The 25,144-nt window shown below is 39.4% G+C and overlaps 1 protein-coding gene and 1 pseudogene across 15 annotated transcripts in view; one reads left to right on the top strand and one right to left on the bottom strand.

The window, feature by feature from the left end:
* Window positions 1-25,144, top strand: part of EPSTI1 (epithelial stromal interaction 1) — a 105,854-nt gene that overhangs the window by 49,582 nt on the left and 31,128 nt on the right. For 10 of the 15 annotated variants that reach the window (XM_011535313.2, NM_001330543.2, NM_001002264.4 and 7 more), the window contains 3 exons: window positions 16,231-16,324; window positions 23,328-23,360; window positions 25,036-25,119. In XM_011535313.2, the coding sequence (XP_011533615.1) occupies window positions 16,231-16,324; window positions 23,328-23,360; window positions 25,036-25,119 (211 nt within the window). Of the gene's footprint in view, window positions 1-9,356; window positions 14,950-16,230; window positions 16,325-23,327; window positions 23,361-25,035; window positions 25,120-25,144 lie in introns of those variants that run through there. The other 5 variants (NM_001331228.2, NM_033255.5, XM_005266596.2 and 2 more) reach the window with 2 other exon arrangements.
* Window positions 7,728-8,980, bottom strand: ZDHHC4P1 (ZDHHC4 pseudogene 1; annotated as a pseudogene).

The raw sequence follows: 25,144 nt of genomic DNA, 5'->3' as shown, positions 1-25,144 counted from the left end.
AGAATCAACAGGATCTAATTAAAATCATGGAGGATTTTAGCACTAGAAGAGGCACAAGGAAGAGACAGGGATATGAACTACAATAAGTTTTTTTCCTTTGTTGTATGAGTGAATGTTGGATATTGATATCAATTCCAGAGATTGATAGAAAAATAAATGTGCTTATTATATGTTTAATTATATGCTAATTATATGTACAAATTAGGATAAATAACACAAAAACATATAAGTATAATACAACAAATAAAAATTTGATCGTCAATTTCTGCCTTTACAATAAAAGGCAGAAAAGAAGGGGGAATTTTTCAATAAAAAGTAACAAGCAAAATATTAAGTCCAATAAGTCAGCATTCACAAAAAATGTATACAGGCTAAATTATCTTATTAGAATAAAAGCTCTTGGATTGCCTAGAAAAATACAAATCTAGCTATATTTGATTACAAAGAATATCTATAAATCGAGTTGAAAACAAAGTTATACACGTAAATGTTAACAAAAGCAGCAATATTAGTATGAGACAAATTGAATTCAAGGTGAAAAACATTCAACACAATAAAAGATATTTATGCAGATAAAATATATAATCCAAAGGAAAATGCAAGTCACAAATCTTTATCAAAATAGGTTTGAAATACATATGACAAAAACTATTTGTCTCTAATATAGACTATGGATTTGCCAAATTTTCCTTTTATTTAACTAATTCTCCATAGAAATTAACAGACCAAGTGAACCAAAAAACTCTGTAAAGAAAGGAGGATTTGAATAACAATGCTAAGCATAATTGTATAGACATAAAATGTACCCAATATATGAAAACACATATTCTTTATAAATACTGACTTTAAGAAGACTGACTAAAATCTACTACAAAATTGGCCATGTTCAAGGCCTCAAAGACTCTTGGTAACCTCCAAAAAAAAAACACCCCAAATCCTAGAAAGCCACAGTCCTTGAGAAAAATGGAGTAAAATTAGAAATTAAGCAATATGAAATTATAGTCTGTTTACTTAAAAAATTTTTTTTCTGTTTTTTTTTTTTTCCAGTGTCTTGCTCTGTCACCCAGGCTAGAGTACAGTGGCATGACCATGGTTTGCTGTAGCCTTGACCTCCTGGGCTTGAGCAATCATCCCACCTCAGCCTCCCACGTAGGGGGACTACACGTGTGCACCACTAGGCCCAGCTAATTTTTTAATTAAAAAATTTAAACTATCTTTAAAAATGACTATTGGGGAAAAATTAAAACCAAAACTGAAATTACTTTGAGATAAAAGACTAAAAACTTTAAAGCTGGTTGGAATAACAAACTGTTATTGGCATTGTAATCAATCTATGAATTGAATTATTGAATGCTATAGAGAATCTAAAGTAGACCCATGTTTATATAAAAATTCAGTATTTAGGACTTCAACTATGAATGAAAGTATTTCTTTCAAACCAATGTCAAAAGAATAGACAATTTGACAATTTGTATTGAATCAACACAATAAAAATGTAGTGAAGGATGATTTTATACTTTGAGGGTAGAAACTCCTTTTTAAGCAATATACAAATCTCAGAAGCCATAAAGAGAGACCATAGCTTTAAGTACGTAAAAATTTTAAAATCTATGATAGAAGATATAATGAAGAATGTTTTAAGTAAATAATAATCTAGGAAAAAATATTTGCCTCAAACATAATGGATAAAGGCTTAATTTCACAAAGAATGTTTATAGGATAATAAGAAAATAACAACTCAAAAATTGGCAAATTACTTGAACAAGCAGTTAAAAGAGGAAATAGGAATCAAAATATTCAGTTTCACTAATGATTAGATAAACACAAATATAGATTTTATTATTTCAGTGGCAAAAATATCAATGGATTGATAATACTTCACATTAGGAAAGGAGCTTTCATTTATTCAACAATGAGCATGATTCAGGTGTGGTAGCACGTGCCTGTAGTCCTGGCTACTTGGGAGGCTGAGGCAGGTGGATCACTTGAGCCAGGAGTTAGAGGCTGCAGTGAGTTATGATCACACCACTGCACTCCAGGCTGGGTGACACAGGGGAGACCCTGTCTCTTAAAAACCCCAAACAGAAAAATCCTCTAGACTGATAAGCACCGATAAATGTGTGTCAAGCACTATACTAGGTTCTAGGCATCTATTATGAATAAAGCAAATATGGCTCCATGAGCAAATGTGGAAAATAGACAAGCTGACAAAGAACTGTGTAGGATAACTGTGTAGGATTCGAACAATTCCTATGAAGGAACATAGTGTTAGAGGTAGGGTAAGAGAACATAATGGTACTAGGAAGGCAACACCTCCTTAGCATGATAGGTAGGACCCGACTTTCCAAGAAAATGACATTTGAACTGAAGATAAAAGGATGAGAAGGAACCAGCCATACTGAGAACCAGAAAGAAAGTTCTAGGCTGAGGCAATGGCATATAGGGTACTCAGCAACCTGAAAGGAAGCTGGTATGTTCGGGCTGAAGTGAAAAAAAGAGATGACGAAGTTGACAAGACAGGCAGGAGCTAGGCAGGTCAAGTGGACCACACAGGCCATGGCACAGAGTCTGCATGTTTTTCAAGCCACAGGGATAACCTGTAGAAAATTTTTATTTTTCAAAAAGAAATGACTACTCTAGTTGCTGTGTTGTGAATAGATTTGAGAAGGCAAGAGAATAAATGGAGAAACTACTAAAGATGTTACTGCAGTAGTCCAGATAAGAGTTGGTGGTGGCTCAGCTTAAGTGATGTCAGTGCAGAGAAAAGTACAGGCGTGCCTTGTTTTATTGCACTTTGCTTTATTGCACCTCACAGATATTTCATTTTTTAAAATTTTATAAATTATCAGTTTGTGGCAATCCTGTGTTGAGCAAGCCTATTGGTGCCATTTTCCCACTTTGTGTCATAGTGTCACATTTTGGTAATCTGTACAATATTTCAGACTTTTCGTTATAATTACATCTGATTTGGTGATCCATGATCAGTGATCTTTGTTGTTACTATTGTAATTGTTTTGGGGACCCACAAACCCTGCCCACAAATGACAGTGAATTTAATCAATAAATGTTGTGTGTGTTCTAACTGTTCCCCTGACTGGCTATTCCCCTGTCTATCTCTCTCTCCTCTTTGGATTTTCCTATTACCTGAGACACAACAATACTGAAATTAGGCCAATTAATAACCCTACAATGGCCCATAAGCATTCAAGTAAAAGGAAATATCACATGTCTCTCATTTTAAATCAAAAGCTAAAAATGACTAAGCTCTGTGCGGAGGCATGTTGAAAACCAAGATAGGACAAAAGCTAGACCTCTTGCATTAGTTAGCCAAGTTGTGAAGCAAAAGAAAAGTTCTCAAAGGAAATTAAAAATGCTACTCCAGTGAACATGTGAATGATACGAAGGCAAAATAGCTGTATTGCTAATATGAAGAAAGTTCAAGTGGTCTGGATAGAAGATCAGACCAGCCAAAACATTCCCTTAAGCCAAAGCCTAAGCTAGAGCAAGGCCCTAACACTGTTTAATTCTATGAAAGCTGAGAGAGATGAGGAAGCTGTAGAAGAAAAGTTAGAAACTAGCAGAGGTTGGTTCATGAGGTTTAAGGGAAGAAGCCAGCTCCATAATATAAACATGCAATGTGAAGTAGAAAGTGCTGATGTAGAAACTGCAAGATATCCAGAAGATCTAGTTAAGATCATTGATGAAGGTGTGTATACTAAACAACAGATTTTTTTTTTTTTTTTTTGAGACAGAGTCTTGCTCTGTCTCCCAGGCTGGAGTGCAGTGGCGCAATCTCAGCTCACTGCAACCTCCTCCTCCCAGGTTCGAGTGATTCTCCTGCCTCAGCCTCCTGAGTAGCTGGGATTACAGGCACCCACCACCATGCCTGGCCAATTTCTTGTATTTTTAGTAGAGATGGTGTTTCACCATGTTGGCCAGGCTTGTCTTGAACTCCTGACCTCAGGTGATCCGCCCACCTCAGCCTCCCAAAGTGCTGAGATTACAGGGGTGAGCCGCTGCACCCAGCCTAACAACAGATTTTTAATGTAGATGAAACGGCCTTCTATTGGAAGAAAATGCCATCTAGGACTTTCATAGCTAGACAGGAGAAGTCAATACCTACTTCTAAGGACAGGCTAACTTTTGTTAGGGGCTAATGCAGATGGTGACTTTAAGTTGAAGCCAATGTTCATTTGCCATTCTGAAAATCCTAGGGCCCTTAAAAAAATATGCTAAATTGTGTGTATGCTCTATGAATGGAACAACAAAGCCTAGATGACAGCACCTCTGTTTACATCATGGTTTACTGAATATTTTAAGCCCACTAATAAGACCTGCTTAGAAGAAAAGATTCCTTTCAAAATATTGCTGCTCATTGACAATGCACCTAATCACCCATGAAAACAACACTAATCTCCTTGTATATTTCCCAGGCATCTCAAAGTTAGCATATTTCAACTTAAACTTTTGATATTTTTCTTCCCAAACCTTGGTTCTAATACCTATTAGGATATTTGGCAGTATTTCTAAACCAAATATCAAAACCAAGAACCAAGGTTTGGGAAGAAAAATATCAAAAGTTCAAGGTCAAACATGCTAACTTTGAGATGCCTGGAAGATATACAAGGAAATTAATGTTTTCATGCTTGCTAACGCAGTCTCCATTCTGCAGCCTATGGATCAAGGAATAAATCTGATGTTCACATCTTATTATTTAAGAAATAGATTTTTAAAGGCTATAGATGGTGATTCTTCTGATTGATCTGGGCAAACTAAATTAAAAACCTTCTAGAAGGGATTTACCATTCTAGATGCCATCAAGAACACTTGTGATTCATGGGAGGAGGTCAAAATATCAACATTAACAGGAATATGGAAGAGGATGATCCCAGCCCTCATGGATGACATTGATGGACTCAAGACTTCAGTGGAGGAAGTCTTGCAGATGTGGAAATAGCAAGAGAACTAGAATTAGAAGTGGAGCCTGAAGATGTGACTGAATTGTTGCAATCTTATGATCAAACTTCAACGGATGAGGAGTTGCTTTTTATGGATGAGCAAAGAAAGGGATTTCTTAAGATGGGAACTACTCCTGCTGAAGTTGCTGTGAACATTGATTAAATGACTTGAAATTTAGAATATTGTATAAACCTAGCTGATAAAGTGGTGGCAGGGTTTAAGAGATTGACTTCCATTCTGAATGAAGTTCTACTATGGGTAAAAGGCTGTCAAACGGCATTGCATGCTACACACAAATCTTTCATGAAAGAAAGAGTCAATTGATGTGGCAAACTTCACTGTCTTATTTTAAGAAATTGCCACAGCAACTCTGGCCTTTAGCAACTACCACCCTGATTAGTCAGCAGGTTATCAACAAGAGCCTCCAGCAGCAAAAAGATTACAACTCACCAAAGGCTCAGATGTTAGCATTTTTTTTAGCAACAACGTGTATTTTTAAATTAAAGTGTACATTTTTCAAGACATAATGCTATTGCACACCTAAGAGACTACAATCTAGTGTAAACCCAACTTTTATATGAATGGAAAACAAAAAAATTTATGTGACTCACTTTATTGCAATATTTCATTTGCTTTTTTTGCAGTGGTCTGGAACCAAACTCACAATATCTCTGACGTATGACTATAACTACATATTGTATGTAAGTTCAATAGGACATATTGATATTGGGGATGAAGAAGGAGGAAGAATCAAGGATGACTCCCAAGTTTCTGACTTGAAGTACTGGAGGTGTAGTGATGCCATGTACTGAGATGGGGGCTACTAGGTGAAAACCAAGGTTTGGGAAGAAAAATATCAAGAGTTTAAGTTAAGTTTAAGTTTACATATTTAGAAAAATATCAAGAGTTTAAGTTTGAGATGGTTTGGATATATCAAATGGGCAGTTGTACACACGAATTTGGTCTCACTGAGCAGATATGTGGGAAATATAAATTTAGGAATTATATTAGCATGTAAATATAAAGCCATAAAAGTGGACAAAGTCACTTAAGATGAAATTGCAGGTTTGAGAAGAGGGCCCAGGACCAAATACAGAGGAGCTCTATCATGTAGAGTTCGGGTAGATACGAAAGGACATCCGAGAAGTCGGGCAAATTAAGAGTGTGGTATCATGGAAAACAGGACAGACATATTTCCGAAAGGAGAAATTAGTCAATTCCTTACTAGTGTTGAAAGTTCAAATGAGAGAAGGACCAGTGACAGTGGCTGTGATCTTGACATAAATGATTTGGGTATGATGATGGGGCTGGAGCTTGATTGAATTGGACTTACGAGTAAATGGAGATATGGGAATAGATTTGGCATTTATCAGTAACTCTTGAATAATTTGAAAATGAGAACAATGAAATGAGGCAGTAACTGGATGAGGCTGCGGAATCAAAAGTTTTCTTAAATTGATCATGTTTGTATGCTGATAGAAATGATCCAGGAGAGGAGGGGAAGACTAGACACAAGGGGATGACAGAAGAAATAAACTTGAGAAAGAATATATGAATAAGTTCCTGAGTATACATAACCAATGCTTAATGATTAGTCAATGATTAAAAGGAGAGTACTTCTCCTTTTATAATTGAGGAAGCAGTCTTTACATTTTTGTTAAAGGAAGATAGGTACAGATATAGGAAGACTTAAAAGATTTCGTGTTGAGAAGATGAAAGACTTATTTCTCTATTCTCAATGAAGTATGAGGAGATTGTCAGCTGAGAACTGAGAACAAACAAAAGGTACAGGAGAAGAATTCATGAGTGGGCCGGGCATGGTGGCTCACACCTCTAATCCCAGCACTTTGGGAGGCTGAGGCAGGTGGATCACTGAGGTCAGGAGTCTGAGACCAACCTGGGCAACATGGTGAAACCCTGTCTCTACTAAAAATACAAAAAATTAGCCAGATATGATGGCAGGTGCCTGTAATCCCAGCTACTCAGGAGGCTAAGGCAAGAGAATCACTTGAACCTGGGAGATGGAGTTTGCAGTGAGCCGAGATCACGCCGTTACACTCCAGCCTGGGCAACAAGAGCAAAACTCTGCCTCAAAAAAATAAAAAATAAAAAAAAGAATTTATGAGTGAAATGGAGTAGAAGAATTCGGTAGGATGAAGCTAGAGTTAATGGACTTCATTTGAAGCCAGTCTACTTTACCACTCCCTCCTCCTTCATACCTCCCATCCCCAAACACCAGATGTATTATTTTTCCCAAGTTTGATTTACTTGTTCTGGTGCAGACTCAGAGAAAGCAGATGGTTGACTTGATCTAGGTTTGAGATTTTTACAGACATATATGATGGAAGCAGGGAGAAGAGGAAGAAAGGCATTTGTAAGGGAAAGATTTAAAAAATGGACTATGGGCTCTAAGCTGCGCAAGAATTAAAATAGATGGGAGCTGATGGTTAGAAAGAGGTGGGGAATCAGTGGTTTAGAAATCCCAGAGAGACTGGAATGTTGTTATATTGATAGTACTTGAAAGAAGAACATGGAATGACAGAAAGCTGTATTCAGGAATGGAATTTGTCAGATAATTTGGAGAGAGGACATTTATTCATGACAACAATGTCCAGGGTATGGCCCTGGCAGTGTGGCTGAGGTGGAGTGAAGAAGAGCTACTGGAGACCAAGAAATCAAGAAACACAGCCTGTGGGGGGGCAGCACATAGGATATCCATGTTGACAGTAGTCAAGATAGGGAGGAAGGCTGAAGGTTTTTTCTTAAATAATAAATGCATACTATATTTAAAAGGCAGTGACACTTCTTCCATTCTTGTTTCTTCTTTCTCTCATTATTTGGAATGGCAGGTAGAAAGATCTCTCAAAGTTTGCTCCAGAGCCCATGGGAGTGAATGTTCTGGTAGATTTGGAGCTTTCCTGATGGGGGCCAGGCCATGAGGGGGCAATGCTGGCATGGGGCCCAGTCACCTCTGTACCACTCATTAGTAGTCTGGTTGATGGCAACCAGGTACAGAGCAAAGCACAGGTAGCTACCCAGGAGAAAGCTCAGGACCATTACAACGTCCCCCCAACCACAACCCCAGCATGAAGACAATTGTTAGAAAGGTCAGGAACAGGTACTAAATAAGAAAAATCAAGTCTATAAACTGGAAGTGTCCAAGGTCATCAGTGTAAGTCTAGTACAAATCCAACAATACCACCAAATCGACCAGAAACGCAGTGCTCACAATGGCCATGGCAGCAGCCAAAGCCGTCAACATCAAGAGGTAGATGAGAAAGTATTAATAACTGGCGTTCCAAGCCCAGATGCAGTTGTTCACCCAAACCTAACGATGGTCAAAACGGTGCACACACTGCAGTCAGTGCTTTGATCGAGCTGGTGTTCGTAACTCATAAGTAGAGCACCTCACCTCTTTAGAAACATCACTGAATTCATAAACTTGAAGAAATAATTCATTTGCTTTTCTTATAATGCCAGAATCAGTTACACAAGTTAGGGTGGAAATAAACGGGTTTACAATCAGAAGCAGACAGGGCAGAAGAAGGTAATACAGGAGAACTAGCTTTTGACGGTAGCCCAGTATTTCCCAGGTATATTCAGTATTTACCATTCCTTGCAAGACCAGGTGAAGGATAATGAAGGTATGGTTTCATGTATGGAAGAGGTAGTGAAGCAATCTTTACATGGCTTTCTGAAGACATTCTGGAATTATACAGGAAAATATCTGTGCCCCTGCCCTGACCAGGCATTTCAAATCATGAGTTTTCTAGCAAAAACAGGTCATAACATAACCAACTAGCACCAAAGCCAGTAGAGCAGGAAGAGAACCAGGAAGTCCATGCAGGGGGGTATTCCTCTTGTTTGGACAATTTTCAGCCAGCAGCTCTGGTGTTCCTCCTCCCAGCATTCACAGAGAATTCAAAGAGCAGCTCCGCTTGGGCAGCAGTGTGTGCCTGACATGACGAGTGGCACCCAAAGCTGCAGGACATGGTTCCTTCAGGAGGCTGGGTCTGGCACCAGCTTTGACCAACTGCCAATTACATGATACCCACACCTCCTGGGTGCACCAAAGGCTGAAATCTTAAACAAATGAGAGATGGTTGACCAGAAGGTTGAAGGATGACAATGGCAAAGAGGATGGTGTATTCTGTGTTGTGGGTACTACAGAAGCAAACATGTTTTGCAAATGATGGGGGAAGTAATGGTCTGGAAGTAGATTGGGAGCAAACAGGATGTCTGCTTCATTTTCAGGCACCAAGGAATATGTATATGGAAGTAAAATAGTTCCATTTCGGGGGGTTGTGGGAAGTACTGTTCTCAAGAGGTGGTCAGGTTTCAGACAATGTGGGAAAATGAGGCAGACTCTTTTTTTTTTTTTTTTTTTTACTTTTTATGTTGAAATAATTTCCAACTTAGAGAGAAGATACAAAAATAGTAGAAAAATAGTTTCCAATAAAATCTTCATCTAGCTAACATTAATATCTTATACAACCATAGTACAATGATCAAAATCAGAAAATTAACATTGGTACAATACTATTAATATAAACTACAGACCTTATTCATATTCCATCAGTTTCCCTCCAGTGCTCCTTTTCTATTTCAGGATCCAATTCAGGATCACATAAAACATCCAGTCATTATGATTCCTTAATTTCCTCCAATATGTGACAGTACCTCATTTTTTCCCTTCTCTTTCATGACCTTAACACATTCAGTGGGTAATGGATAGTTACTTTGTAGACTTCCCCCAGTTTGGGTTTGTTTGATGTTTTCTCATGAATAGCTTGAAGTTATAATTTCCAACAAGAAAATTACAGAAGTGATGCCATGTCCTTCTCAGTGCATCGCATCAGAGGGTACATGATGATCAGTATCCTTATCACTGGTGATATTTACTTGGATCATTTGGTAAGGTGGTCTCCACTGTTAAGTTATTGTTTTTCTCTTTATAATTGATGAATGTTTTGGGGGAGATATTTTAAGACTATACTAATATCCTGTTATCTGCAAACTTTTGCCCAGTGATTTTAGCCTATGTAAATTAATCTTGCCAACATTTTTTTTTTTTTTTACCTGGATGTTTGCCTAATGGTGATTTTGTATTTGAGGGAGACTTTCTGATATGAGGTTAAGAATCCTGAGTTGTTAACTCTTGGATAAAGATCGAGAGACTTTTGCCCCCTTGGAAAGGTTTGGAAGGCTAGAGGGAGGTGTGGGGGCTTAAGTGGTAGATATATGGGGCAGTGTGGGATTGAGAGACTGAGTCATATTGAGTGATAGGTGAGACTGGAACACTCGGTGGTGACCGAGATAAATAGGAATGTGTAAGACAGGATAGAATTAGTACTTACAGGAGGTTAGCCATGGTTCTGAATTGCCACTTTCATAAAGTTAACTTTTGGTGAAAATATAAATTTGTGTAGATCAGCTTGGCACTATTAAGCATGGTTTAATCGTGAATAGACTGAGCACAGTGGCTCGTGCCTGTAATCCCAATGCTTTGGGAGGCTGAGGTGGGAGGATCACTTGAGGCCAGAAGTTTGAGATCAGCCCGGGCAACACAGCAAGACCCCACCTCTAAAAAAATATTAGCTGAGCATTGTGGTGTGCTCCTGTAGTCCCAACTACTTGGGAGGTTGATGTAGGAGGATCACTTGAACCCAGGAGGTCAAGGCTGCTGTCCAGCCTGGGCAACAATGTGAGACCCTGTCTCAAGAAACAAAAACAAAAAATTGCATATCTATTTATGGGAACCTATATTAGAATAAAATTCTACTTCTAGGTGTATATCTTAGAAAAAATATTTATGTATTTGCACAAGATGTATATACCAGGATGCTCACTGGAAAAAACTATAAATATCCATCCATAAGAATGTTAAATGTATTATATCCATATCATAAAATGCTATTCAGCTGCCAAAAGGAATAAGATATATATTTATAAATATGGAAAAATCTCAAAGATGTGGTTAGATGACAAAAATCTATTTTCAGAACAAAATATAGTATCCCACTTAAAGAAAAAAGTCTGTTAGTTTAGGGTAGGAAAAGCTGTAGTTAAAAAACATAAACACCAAAATTTCAGTGACTTAAAGAACAAGAAGTTTATATCTTTCTTGTGGAATGATCCAGGGCTGATGTTTGAGTCAGGTTAGCTTTCGCCCCCTGGCATTAAAAGCTGCAGGCAAGGCCGGGCGCGGTGGCTCACGCCTGTAATCCCAGCACTTTGGGAAGCCGAGGCGGGTGGATCATGAGGTCAGGAGATCGAGACCATCCTGGCTAACAAGGTGAAACCCCGTCTCTACTAAAAATACAAAAAATTAGCCGGGCGCGGTGGCGGGCGCCTGTAGTCCCAGCTACTCGGGAGGCTGAGGCAGGAGAATGGCGTGAACCCGGGAAGCGGAGCTTGCAGTGAGCCGAGATTGCGCCACTGCAGTCCGCAGTCCGGCCTGGGCGACAGAGCGAGACTCCGTCTCAAAAAAAAAAAAAAAAAAAAAAAAAGCTGTAGGCAAAAGGTAGCTCTACTCTCCTTTGCAAATGCCTTGCAGGCTCACTTAAGATACCATCATCAGATAGAAGGAGGAAAGAGTATTAAGAATGCTGTGAGAGGTTATTGATGTGGATCACTTCAGCCTGGCCCATACATTTACTCACATTTCATTGGCCAGAATGCAGATGTATGCTCCTATGTCACATCTAATTGCGTGGGAGCTGGGAAACGTAGTCTAGCTATATATGCAGGAAGCAGAGAAACACATTTTAGAGAACAGCTGGCCTTCTCTGCCTTATCCTAATTATCCTCCCCCAAAGTAAACCACTATTCATTTGTATGTAATTTTAAATAGATATTTATCAATTAATAGAAAATCAGGATACATACCTGACAATTCATGATGTTGTCCTTTGGGGAAAGGAGTCAGGTTGAGAGAGGTATTAAGTAGGACCTTCACTTTTTTTCTTTATATTTTTATCTAATTTCTATTCTATTTTCTGACTCGTATTTATGTATTGCTTTTGCAATTAAAAATTAAATCATTAAAGACCAGATAAATGAAGGGAAAGAATTCTGTAAAGTGTATGCAATAGTTTGATTACTTTGATTAAGCACAAAGTTCTCCCAGCATTACTACTCACTTTCATGTTTTGTTTTGTAAATCTTGTTCTTGTGATTTCTTAAATGGGTTTTGTGTATCCCAATAGATTATCTCTCACTCTCTTACTTACATAGGCTCTGTGAGTGCTTATAGGTGTGTGAATGTCATTTGCTCATACCCAGTTATGTGAAACTGACTTAAGCAAAATAATACTTCTTTAGATTGTCCTATAACCCATATTGCTAAACACATGGCAGAGACTCAGGAAATATTTGTTGCCTGCATGAATGCATGCATGCATGTACGAATGATTACTTACCTAAACCTCATGGTGGCAAAGTTCAGGTTTGTGAAGCTATTGCAAAATACATGTAGAATGCATTATTAGATTGTACTTATACAGACAGTTCCTAAGACACGCTGAGGTTTTATTTCCAAATGTGTTGTATAACATGAATTATTCATAAGTCAGAGTCATGTAGACTTAAGATAATTATGCATATTGAATATCCATCTGTACTACTGTAGTAGTTCTTAACATCACCAGGGGTGCTTTTAAGAAACGCAGATTCCCAGATCCCACTCCAGACATGCTCAATTAGAGTCAGAGGCCTGAGTCCAGTAATTTCTAGGAAGCACCACAGATGATTCTCATATAGCCAGCCCCACACTGGTCTTCCCACTGGCATTCTGGAAACTATTGTTCTATGAAATCTGGAATGGTATCTGCCAAGTCTTTCCCTAGTAAACACCACCATAGTCTGTGTGGGGTTTTTTATCCCCTTTTTATTTAAGAAACATTTCAAACACACAGAAAATATGCATCAACCACTAAGCTCATATTGTTAAGATATTACTTATATTTGGTTAATTAAAAAAGATAAATATTACAGAGACAGCTAGCTGTCCCTCCACCCTCATCCCTTCCTTCTCTGTCTTTCTCTAGCAGTAACCACTGTCCTGGTATGTAATATTTGTCAATGTGCGTTAACCAAAAACTACCAGGAATATACCTGTAGTTGAACAAGTTGGGTTTATTACTCATTGCAGCAAAGGAAAATGCATACCATAGGGAATGGTGAGTTATCTCAGGGAGAAAGTGTTAGAAAGACCCTACTACAGGATTTGTGCTTTGGTTGGGTAATTTTGGGGAGGGTCTACGGAGGCAGGGAGTTGCTCTGGATTGAGTGCCATCAGAATGTGGGGACAGTTTTATGATTGGGTATCTCAATAAATCTTACCTATAGGAAGGACCTAGAGTGACTACGAAGCTGTAATTAGTGAAGAAGTAGTGGTCATTCACTTAGAGGAGATGATGTTTGGTACTTTGTAGATTGCATGATGACCTTGTGTGAAGTAGATATTCTGTGTGACTATTTACATCCAACAGTGGAACAAGGCTTAACTTCAGTGTCAGATCAAATCAGTTTATAATAACACTGAGATTTAGACGTGAGCATCAGATCAGTTCCTGGATGCCAGGAGCTGCTCTTCTCACTTGGCAAGTGTTTCTAATTTTACTACATATAAGTGAATTCACAAAAAGCATAGACTGCTTTTTAAAATACCATTGTGTCATAATTTGAAAGGCAGCCTCCTCCACTCAGGTATTTAGGAACCAAAACTGATAGAGACTCCACCACCTTCAATGCACAACTTCCAGCATTTCCTTGAGGGCTGTCTCTGTTCCAGCCAGGAGAACAATGTATGGAGGCACATGCATGGGAATTTTCTAATAAGTTAGTACTGGATGTGGCATTCAACACTTCTCACATTCCATTGGTCAAGACTCAATCATATAGCCAACCTTAGCTGCAAGGGAGGCTAGGAAATGTAGCCAAGTTGTGTGGCCAGAAGAGGAGAATGTAAATTTTCATGACCATTTAGCAGTCTGCTACAACTGTATTCTGTTGAGGCGAGATTTTCCTGAAGGGACCTTTCAGGATATGCCATAGAAATCAACCTAAGAATGAGCAGGAAGGACCCTTAAAGATCCTAAGTTGGACATAAGTAAATTTTATTTTGTTCTATGGAGAATAGAGGAAGAAATCTTTCATGCTTGGATCAGAGTGACAAAGTGGAAGAGGACCACCCCTCTCCAACAGGCAGTAGAGTCACGGTAGTGATAATACCAAGAACCCCCAAGGGCAAGGTGAAAACAGTGCTAGAGTCCAGGGTTCTTAGTCCAGTTGGACTTCCCACGAGGATGTTTTCCTTCGTTTGCCCCTCAAACAGGTTCTACATCTTATTTTTGTTAAATATAACCAGAGTTACCTACAGGGATCCCACTTCAGTTCAGCCAATATATGGAAATTTTATATACCAGGGACTAATGCTAATAGTAGAAAAATATGAGTTAGTGTCGTAACATGGGACTTCCTTTGTATAGTTGATCACTTGGCAGTAATCCGCATACTCTGCAGGCCCCTACCTGTATTCCTCTGGCAGTCCTGTGACCCTGTCACTCTGCTTTATATCCTGCGGCATGAGTGGGGCAGTGATAATTGGCACAAGGACCACAGATAGAGGCTGGCTCTGCAGGCAGCTTTGTGCTTGGCGTTGGCAGGTAAGAAGCGGCAGTCAGTAAACTGAAGGGCTGCCTGTCAACTTGGTCTGAAGTTTCTTCCTTGCTTGTCACAGTGTTTCTTTTTCACTGCTTTCTCCTATGGCCTGCACTTGGCTTAGGATATTCAGAGATCTCATCCAAACTTCTGGCATCACTCTTCTTTTTATACTTTTGACTGATGACTTCATAAAGCCCCAGACAATGGGGCAGCTTCCACACTCTGTGACTTCATTAGTCTCCTTGTCTATTCTGGGCAAGATAAGTAATCTAAGACAAATGGAAAGGCTGCTCGTCTCAACTGCTGAATGTTTCTCAGGGTTCTGTATGTTGCTTCACTTTTATTTCTTCCTTCCCCAGATCAAGCTTCTGACCTTTTTCAAATGCCATGTTCTACCTAAGTAATATTTGAAGTGATGCTGGCACCTGTTTAGTTTCTAATTCCTTGTTTTGCTCCTACACTGGATGCCATTTGTTCTACCAGATACTTTGTGTTTCCTTTGATGCCCATGTCCTAAGTACTTGATGAATCAGATCTTAGCATTGGGCTTAAAATATTAGGGGGAAGCAGAGGGCTAGCAGGAGGAGGGAGGGAGATGGGAACAGGCTGCGCAAGTCTGGTGCAAAGTAAGTCAGTGCTCAATGAGGTATGTGGCTGTGAATGTGCAATGAAGAGATAAAAATCACACAAATTACATGAGAAAAGGACAAAGGCGTAGAAATTAATCAAGGGTAGGCAGAATGGGCCAGGCACTGAGGTAAGGACTAGGAAACAATTCCAGTGTTCTATGCTTGGCATAAGTGAGAGGGGAAATTGGGGTGGTGGTTTGGATTTTTAAGGTAAAAACAGAGAACTTCTTATTTAAACTGAGGACATTTCTAGGTCAATTTTTCAGAGCTAAAAAGAGATATTAGAAATGCAGTCTAGAATCAGCAGCACTTTTTAACCTCTATAGATAAACCCTATGGAGGGTTTATCCTCTCTCTGAAACAAAATGCAAAGGACTGTGTGTGTGTGTGTGTGTGTGTGTGTGTGTGTGTGTGTCTGTTAACAGAGGGTTCACTTTTGCTTTCAGAGTCCAAAAGGGCTCCATGATCCATAAATGGAAAAGAGCTACTGGATTAGAGGGTCTCTGTGTCCTAACAGTGGTCAAAGCCATGAGGCAGATGAGAGGGTAAAGGGCTTAATGTAAAACTGGTGTGAAGCAGGATGTTGTAGGGCGTGAATGTTCCACAGCTCCACCCTGAAGTCTGAGTGTTAAGCATTAAATGTTCAGATAGGAAATTAGGGCTGCATGCTGTGGAATGTGCTCTGGGAGAGGACTTGTATTTATGTCAGTAATATAAAGTGGAAAAAATGAGGTCATAAGCTCACATTTCATAAAGCTAGTTTTATAATTTTGTAATATTGTTCTTGAAGAATGCAATCTTGCAATAGCATTTTGTTTTGATTTCTGCTACACCTTGTTCTCAACGTAACTTTCTGTTCTGCTGAAGATAATTTTAATCATCACCCAAATAAGTCTAGGTTAGTATCCAAAGGAAAAATAAAGAATTATGTTCATATTTTTGTGAAGGCACTAACACCTGTTTGTGTTTCTGGTAGCAAAACCGCTGAGTTCTTGAGCAAACTGAACACAGAATCGCCAGACAGAAGTGCCTGTCAAAGTGCTGTTTGTGGCCCACAATCCTCAACATGGGTAAGTGAATTACTTTGCAGGGTGCTGCCTGGCACATTTTATAGAGGTATTTAGTGACTGAAGATGAGGGATATAGAGTGACTTGTACATCATAGAATGCTGGAACTAAAGACAGATGACCTGATCCGAAACTTTGACCTCAACTGTTGCCTGAGCTATAAAATAATGCTTGTATTATTTTATGGGCACCTGGACTAAAACAGCCTCAGAGAAGTTTTTCCTCTCACCCAACCATTCATTCACCCACCCATCCACCCATCCATTCTTCCATCCTTCCATCCTTCCTACCTTCCTTCCTTCCTTCCTTCCATCCATGCATCCATCCATCCTTCCTTCCATTCTTTAAATTCATAGGTCTATATAAGGCCTACTAAGTGCCTACAGTTTCTGCCCAATGAACCTTAGTAAAGGAGAACACTAATGGTTTTAAAGCAAACTGCTGAGCACAGAGCATATCACAATAAGAAAGCACTACTGCCTTATCAGGAAGAAGCATCTAAGTCAGACCATGTGCGTTAGATGCTTCTTGGGAAATGACACCAGAGCAGAAGCTTAAACTATGAATCAGTAAAGTGATGAGTCTTTCCAGGTATCAGAATTAATAAAGACACATAGAGCAAGAATTAAGGTATAAATGCAAGAAATAAGCATGGCTTGTGTTGCGGAAGAAGAGTTATGTAGCTGCAGTGCAGAAAAGTGAGCTAGAAGGATATAGAAATGAGCAGGAACGGTGAGGACCCTTTCCCAATGGTGTTACCTCTGGAAATTCAGGTGGGACAGTTCATTGTGTGAGTTGTCTTGATTACTGCAGGATGCTTAGTATCCCTAGGCCCTGGGCATGAAGGGCCAGTAGCGCCACCCAGACACTGAGACATCTAGAAATGCCCCCACACAGTGCTTACCAATGAGACATGTAGAAATGCCCCGCATACTGCGTGCTCATGGTGCTCCTGGTAGAAAACCACCACAGAAATTTGCATGCCACCTTGGAAAACCTAAACCCCATTCTGTGAGCACTGAGGGTATTGGAAATGTTTAAACAGGGAAAACTCAAGGTTAGATTTGTGTTTTCATTCTGGATCACATTGGCAACATTGTGAAGGAGGGCTCTAAAGGAATAGAGAAGCAGAGAGGCCCCCCAAGGCTTCTGTATCAGTCTGGGTAAAGAATGATGAAGACTTCAGCTAGGACAGCGGGGGAGAGGATGGAGAAGAGAGTGCAGGTCAGAAAACTGCTTAGAAGGTGAAAGCGGCAGGGCTTGTTTATTGACTTGCTAACTGGGGACAAGAAAGTAAGTGTAATTAAGGATGACTCTGGATAAGGGTTGTAGCTGAAAGAAAAGATGAATTTAAGTTTCTTAAAGTCTCAGGTTTCTCAGAGTTTGGGTAGCTAAATGAGTTGTTAAAGAACCCTCATCTTCATCTCCCCTTACCCCTTTCTCAATAGAGACCATGTTTTTAAATGTCAGGAAGATATTATGACACTCCTTAGGAAGAGGTCATTATACTCCTACTTAGAAATCTTTAGTTGTTTCCTAATTTTTTTCTTTCTGCTTCTAATGTGATGTTCTAAAGTCTAAATTCATCAGTGTGGGCCCTACAACTTATATTAAAGGAAATTCATCATCTCTCTTCCCTCACTGCTGGGCTCTGGGGGAAAGAGTTGAGAAGCTGTAGGCAGTGGAGTTAAATCATGTGTAGATGACAGCCCTAAACACCTGTCTGGATATCCTTGTGGCTGTCAGGGAGGGAGAGGGAGAACAGGAGTTGGATAGCTTTACCAGCTGGAGTTTCGCCTACCAGGCTGGTCTTCCTTTCCGTTCGAGGGCTCCCTGTATCCTGCAATGTGGAACACCTGGCAGAACTGCGTGTGCTGCTCTATTGATTTTGGCTCATTTCTTCAATTTAACAAGATCGTCCTGAATTTTAATATTGTCATCCAAAGCATTAGCAATGTTTCCCAGAGCTGCATTTTCTGTGGATTGATTAGTGCATTTGTCATAGGATCCTCAGAGCTATTAATAGAAAATATGGAGGGAGATTGGACCCAGGACGGTTCCTTATAAACTCCACGCAATAGCTGCTCCGATTTTGACCCCAAACTATTAATACGGTTTCAGTGTTCAATATATTTAATTGACTTTTTACCCATATTATACTCTTCTCATTCTGTCTCATCCATATGCATAGAATTCTTCTGAGAATGCTTTGCAGAATCATTTCTAATGGTGTAGGAAAATCAAATATGTACATTGCACTTCTGTGAAGAACATTTCTTTGTAAAAAGAGGACACCTGCAGTTTACTTTAGCTATGGTCAACTTATAGAATGTGAACACTATGTGATTGCCATCTATATGGGATGTGATGAGCTGGAAGAATTTATATATAATTTTTAATACTTTAATTTTACTACCTAATGTAACTTTCCTGAAAAGATTTTTCCTCTTGTACTTTTCTCCTTTAAAAGTGGATCTGCCATTGGCAGATGGGGATTTAATAAATACTAGAAAATTATGTCAATGTAAAAGATTACAAGAAAAATCCTTTAGTGGTTACAAGAAAATTCCTTTTGGCTTAGGACTTCAGACAAGAGATATTTACAGGGTTCACTTTTACATGTGGATTAATATAGTTCTCTGTATTGTGTGTGTAGGCAGAAGTACCAGCATCATCAGACCTTCCTCAGCGACCATCGCTGCATATTTCTAGTCAAATATGAAATGGTTTCTAGTCTCTGGTTTGCTGCCCCCATTTTTTATTTATTTATTTATTTTTAGACAGGGTCTCACTCTGTCACCCAGGCTGGAGTGCAGCAGCATGATCTTGGCTCACTGCAACCTCCACCTCCCAGGTTCAAGCCATCCTGCCACCTCAGCCTCCTAAGTGGCTGGGACCACAGGCACGCACCCCCACGCCCAGCTAACTTTTGTAGTTTTTGTAGAGACAGGGTTTTGCCACATTGCGCAGGGTGATCTCAAACTCCTGGGCTGAAATGATCCACCCACCTTGGCCTCCCAAAGTGCTGGGATTACAGGTGTGAGCCACCGCACCCGGCCTTATGCCCCTACTTCCTCAACGAAGAATAACGATGTGAAAAAATCTTATCCTGGTGTTTCACTTCCCCAAATCATTCAGTGGTCCCCCATATCTTCAAGGATAAAATCAAAATGTCTTAGCTTAGGCACAAAGTCCTTTCCTCTCTCTGTCCCTCCGTCTCTCCTTTAATTCTAGATTCTGTCTCTTTCTTTAGAATGGCCCCTTTCTAGTCCTCTGGGGTCTGGAGGACTGGCCTCGAGTCTAAATCTTTGCTTCTGCAAAGGGGTGAGGGGAAGCAAAGCTTTTGCAAGCAAGGTAAGGGGAAGCAAAGCTTTTGAAATCAGGAGCAAAGATTTAGATGCAGATCAATCTCAGGCCCCACTGCAGACCTCCTGAATCAGAGCTTGTATTTAATACAGTCCATGGAAGATGTGTGTGCACGTTAATGTCTGAGGGGCCAAGCTCTATAGCTCATGCCTCTCCAGCTCTCCTCTCTCACACTACTGTGAGCACTCAGTGCAGGTTGATTATTGTAATTTTTATCTACGTGTCACATGCTCATTCATTAAGAAGTCAAATAAAGTACTTAACATGTGTCCCTTTGCGCCGCTTGAATCCCACTTCCACCGCAACATTTGAACACTTCCCTTTGCTGCTGTAACAAATTACCACGAATGTAGTGACCTAATAGAACAAAAATTTATTCTCTTAACACTTCTGGAGGTCAGCAATAAAAATGGGTTTTAAAATGCTAAAATGAGGGTATCAACAGGAATGGTTCCTTTTGAAGCTTCCGGGGGGCATCTGTCCCCTGTCCCCGCAAACCCTTGGCACACGGCTGCATGGCTCCAGTTTAGCTTCCATCTCACCCAACCTTCTGCACCCTCCCTGACCTTTCTGCCTTCCTCTTATAATGACCCTTTTGATTACAATGGGCCCACCTGGACTATCCAGGCTAATCTCTCCACTTCCAGATCCTTAATTTCTGCAAAGTCCCTTTTGTCACATAAAGAAACATTCACAGATTCCAGGGATTGGGACGTCTTTGGGGGGCCATTATGCAACCCACCACCTGTTTCTTTTCTTAGTTAGCTCCGAATATCTGTTAATATGTGTTGGTATCTCTTGACTAATCAATTTTAGACCTTATTAACTCATTTCTTCCTCTCATTCTTATAATTATTCAGTAATTTGAGCTTTCCCTATTATGACTATATACACGTTTTCTCACTGCCAAGCCAGTCGGTATACTCTGGTTATATCTTCTGTACAACTCTTTAAACATTTTATTTTAGCGTTTTCTTAGTTTCCTTTGAACATTTGACTGTCTTCTGACAGCTTTTGTGACTGTTCTACAAAATGCCTCTTGACGCAAATTTCTAAACAATTTTCCAACTTATGCCTGTCAGATAACTTGTGGATTTTTTTTTTTCTCTCCCTCCTGGATCCCTCTTTCCTCCTGCTTTAACCTGTCCTGGGTGTTTGTAAGCCTGGCGCACAGCTGTTGTTCTGGGACTTTCCTTTAACACAGTAGTTCTCAGCCTCCTCTGCACACTGGATTCACCTAGGGAGCTTTAAAAATCACAGATACCTGGGTTGCACCTCCAGAGAGCCTGCTGTATTGTGACCTGGGCTTCAGGGTTTAAAAAAGCTCCCCGGGCCATTCTAATGTGCAGCCAAGGTTGAGAATCCCTGTTTTAAAGTCATCTTGGGAATTGCTTTTATTGCCTTCCCATGTTGGGTTCTCTGATTTCTGGGCCTCATTTCTTCTATTTTCTTGCTTTATTTCTTTGTTTTGGTGGAGCATATTACTTAGTGGCTTCCCAAGAGAAGACACATGGAAGGTAAACATGTTCAGGTCCTTCCATGTCTGAAACTATCTTTATTCAGCTCTCATACTTTGCTTGCATTTTTATTGATGACTATTCCAAACTGGAAATAATTTTCCTCCAGAATTTTGAGGCATTGCTCTTCTAACTTTGAATACTGGTTCCTGAGAAATCCAAGGCCATTTGAATTTCAGGCTTTATATGAAGGATTTTCTCTGTTTCCCCTGAAAATATTTTAATATCATCTTTTCTTTTTCTGGCATTCTGTAATGATGTGATTTAGTGTGAAAGTCTTTTTTTAATTCATTTTCGGTCTGGAAATTCATCTCTAGTTCTAGATGATTTTCTTGTGTTATCTCTGACTTATATCCTTTCATTTTCTCTTTATGGAATTTCTATTATTCAAATTGTAGACCTCCCGGATTTATCTTCTAACTTTAGAGATTTTCTCCTGTAAGTTATCTGTGACTACCTTTTTTCTATATTTTGGCATATTTTCTTGACTTTATCTTCTAAATATTTTACTGATTTGGTTTTTTTGGGGGGAAGAAGGGGAGATTTAAAAAAATGTCTCCAAACTCCTCCTTTTTTCTTTGTTACTTTAAAAATATATATATCACTTCTTACTTCTCAGAAGAAACAGTACAGGAAGCAGAAAAAAACTTCAAAGAGAGGGACTCAGAGGCTCACTGGTCAGTATGCAGGACTTTATAGAGTCATTTCATTCTCAGCCTGGCATTTGTCCACTGCTGCTGTCTTTACACATATGCCTGGTTTAGTTTATCCAGAAAATACACTTTTCATTTCCTGTTGGTGTTTGGTGAATTAGCACCTGCATTTTCAAAGCAGGAGCAGGTATATGGGGGTGAAGGGCTTCTACTGAGACTATCTAGTAATTCCTTCCTTTTTACCTGCCTATTATCCATCTGTCTTCCTCAATAGCTGGTGCATCCATTTCTTGGGCCCTCATGTTGCTCTGTGGAGAGAACTGGCTCCCCATAGGTGTCCTCTAGCCCCTTCCAGCAAGTCTTCAGGTTTGCTCTTTTCCTCTGTAAGTCACTTACTGTTTCTTTATCTACTTGGTCTTCATAGATTTCCCTCTGTGAATATGGATCTCTTGGTTTTGGAAGATAGAGCTTGTGTGTATTTCATTTTCTGCTTTGTTTAGGGTAATTTTGGGGAGAATGGAACAGGAACATCTTTACTCCACCATCTTGAAAGGAGAACTTAATGCTTGTCATGGGTTGAGACCCACACTTCTCAAAATTTATGTGGAAGCCCTGACCCCTAGCACCTCAGAATGTGACCTTATTCAGAGATAGCATCTTTACAGAGGAAATAAGTTAAAATGAGGCTCCTAGAGTGGGTTCAAATTCATTATGAAAAGTGTCTTTATAAAAAGGGGAAATCGGGACACAGAAGCATGCATACAAGGGAGATGATGTGAAGAGATGCATGATGAAGATGGAGTCTGCAGGCCAAAAAGAGAAGCCTGGAAAAGATATTTCTCACATAGCCCTCAGAAGGAACCAACCCTGAAGACACCTTGATTTTGGACTTCTAGCCTCCAGAACTATAAGATAGTAAATTTCTGTTCTTTAAGCCACCAGTATCACAATACTTTGTTATGGAAGCCCTAGCAAACTCATGCACTGCTATTTTCCATTTGCTCATGTGATGCTCTTCTCCCGGTATAGTCTGATTCCTACTCACTCTTTGAAATATAACTTAGCCTTACTTGATTTGGAAAGTCTCCTCAATCTAGTTTAATTAAATATCCTTCTTTTTGGCTTCCTCTATCATATCACCTATCATGCTGTACTGTAACCATTAGTCTTCTCGTTTGACTTTCACACTAAGCTGTAAATGCTTGAGGCCTGGGATCGTGTCCTGACACAGTGCTTGCACAGAGGAGCCTTAAACACTGTTAATAGAATGAGTACATTATAAGCATAGCTTTTGGGGAGGATAAATAAAGGTGTATTTTGGTTGAATGATAAAATATAGCATTGGTATTGTATTAAATGAATATTTCAATGTTAGACAAATTATGTGAATACAGTGACTTAGAAATTTCTGGTGTTTAGAGCTAAGAAAAATAGTGATCAATTTATTCCCTTCTATTATTTTTGAACAGAAACTTCCTATCCTGCCTAGGGATCACAGCTGGGTAAGCAAACATTAGGATTGCAAGTAACTGAACTTTTCATAAGTTTGGATGCCATGTGACTTCCCAGTTTCTGTGGACCTTTATAAGGCACCTTATTTAATAATAAGGTATTTAATAACCACTTTTTTCTGAGTCAAAAACTAAGACATGTATTCTAATAAAAGAACAACAAAATGACAAGTTTAAAGGGAGGCTATTCAAATAGAATTTAGATACTCTCATTCAAGTTGTAATTTTGCTTTAACTAAATATTTTATTCTACCTTTTAATATCTTGAGTAGAAGCTGTCTTCTTTCCTTTCTTCTTCTCTCCTTTCCTTCCTTCCTGTCCTCTCTTCTCACCCTCCTTCCCTCCCTCCCTTCTTCCCTTCCTCACTAGGTCTTATATGGAATATTTGTGATAAAGGCTAGCCTTCTCTAATATAAAAAGAAGGGGTTGTCAGAGATAAAAAGAAAGGCTTGTCAGAGAATCACTTTTCCCCTTCTATGTCTTAGCACAGTCCCCTTGAGTTTAGGATGCAAATAAGAGAAAGTCATATGATGTATGTTTACCTGCCCAATGCAGCAGGGTTTGGATAAACCAGGGATTTCTGAACACAGGAAGCTCCAGTTTTCTAACTGGCACTGCCATAGATGATACCATTTTGAAAGCTTCTCTCTTTTTCTGGGAAGTGGTTCTTATTATTTGATGGGATATGGGTTTTTATAGTGACAGAAATGCCAGAATGAACTAAGAAGTGCTTGAGAAAAGTTACATAAAAGTTCACGTAGGCTGGAAAAAGGGGGAACCAGCCTACCTGAACTTTATGGATTATTAGTCCTGAGAACTAGGTCTGAAATATGTAACCTGCTGCCATGAAGCTGCTGATAGTTTTTTATGAGATCCATGTAATTTCCTAAGCATTAGCTCTTTGCCTTACAGAAGCTGGGGCTGCAAATCAATGTGAAGGAGAGAAAGCATATGACAAATAAACAGAACACTTGAAATGCCATAAATGTCAGAACACATGGTCACTATGCCAGGGTGTGGAACTCTGGTGTGGTGGGTCAGAGACACCGAAGGGCATTCTCCCTCATGTGCTGGCTTGCCAAAGGCTTTGTTGTCATGTGTTCCTGAATAGGCTTTGTTTTCCTTTTCAGAGGTAGAAATAAAACTTCATCCAGATTAGGGATGCAAGTGCTTAGAAAATATGCATCCTTGAAATTATATGGTATCAACCACTAGTTGACAAGCTGCTTAATCAGATATCATTAATGAGCAGTAGACATGCCCGTTCTTCTAAAGACAGTGCCACTATTGCTTGTCTTTAATATTGACTGATCAGCTAGTCGGAATATTCTTGAAAATGTCCTAAACTTTCCACTAGAAGGAATAAACTATGTTGATTATCTCTGAGGGGATATTTTTAAAGCTTAATTAAACATTTAGATCATCCTTTCAAATGTGCAGGATGATTGTGCTTACACTAGTTTTCTTTTTATATGTTCCAAGGGACGTTTTCAGACATATGCATAAATCACTTAATAACCAAGTGTGTATGGAGAGCTTACTATATGCTCAGTACGGAGGTTGAGTTATTAGCACCGGGCCTATAGTAGGCAGCTTGGTGTACTGTGACAACCCTTTATCCTATCAAGTTGTTTTTTTTTTTTTTTTTCTCTTTGTACCTTTACAGGCCAGAAGCTGGGCTTACAGAGATTCTCTAAAGGCAGAAGAAAACAGAAAATTGCAAAAGATGAAGGATGAACAACATCAAAAGGTACTTACAAGCCCCTACTAGTTAT

The sequence above is a fragment of the Homo sapiens genome, chromosome 13 (assembly GCF_000001405.40).
Source record: "Homo sapiens chromosome 13, GRCh38.p14 Primary Assembly".
Classification (NCBI taxonomy): domain Eukaryota; kingdom Metazoa; phylum Chordata; class Mammalia; order Primates; family Hominidae; genus Homo; species Homo sapiens.
Note: the sequence above shows the minus strand (reverse complement) of the source record. Positions and strands in the feature narration are given on the sequence as shown.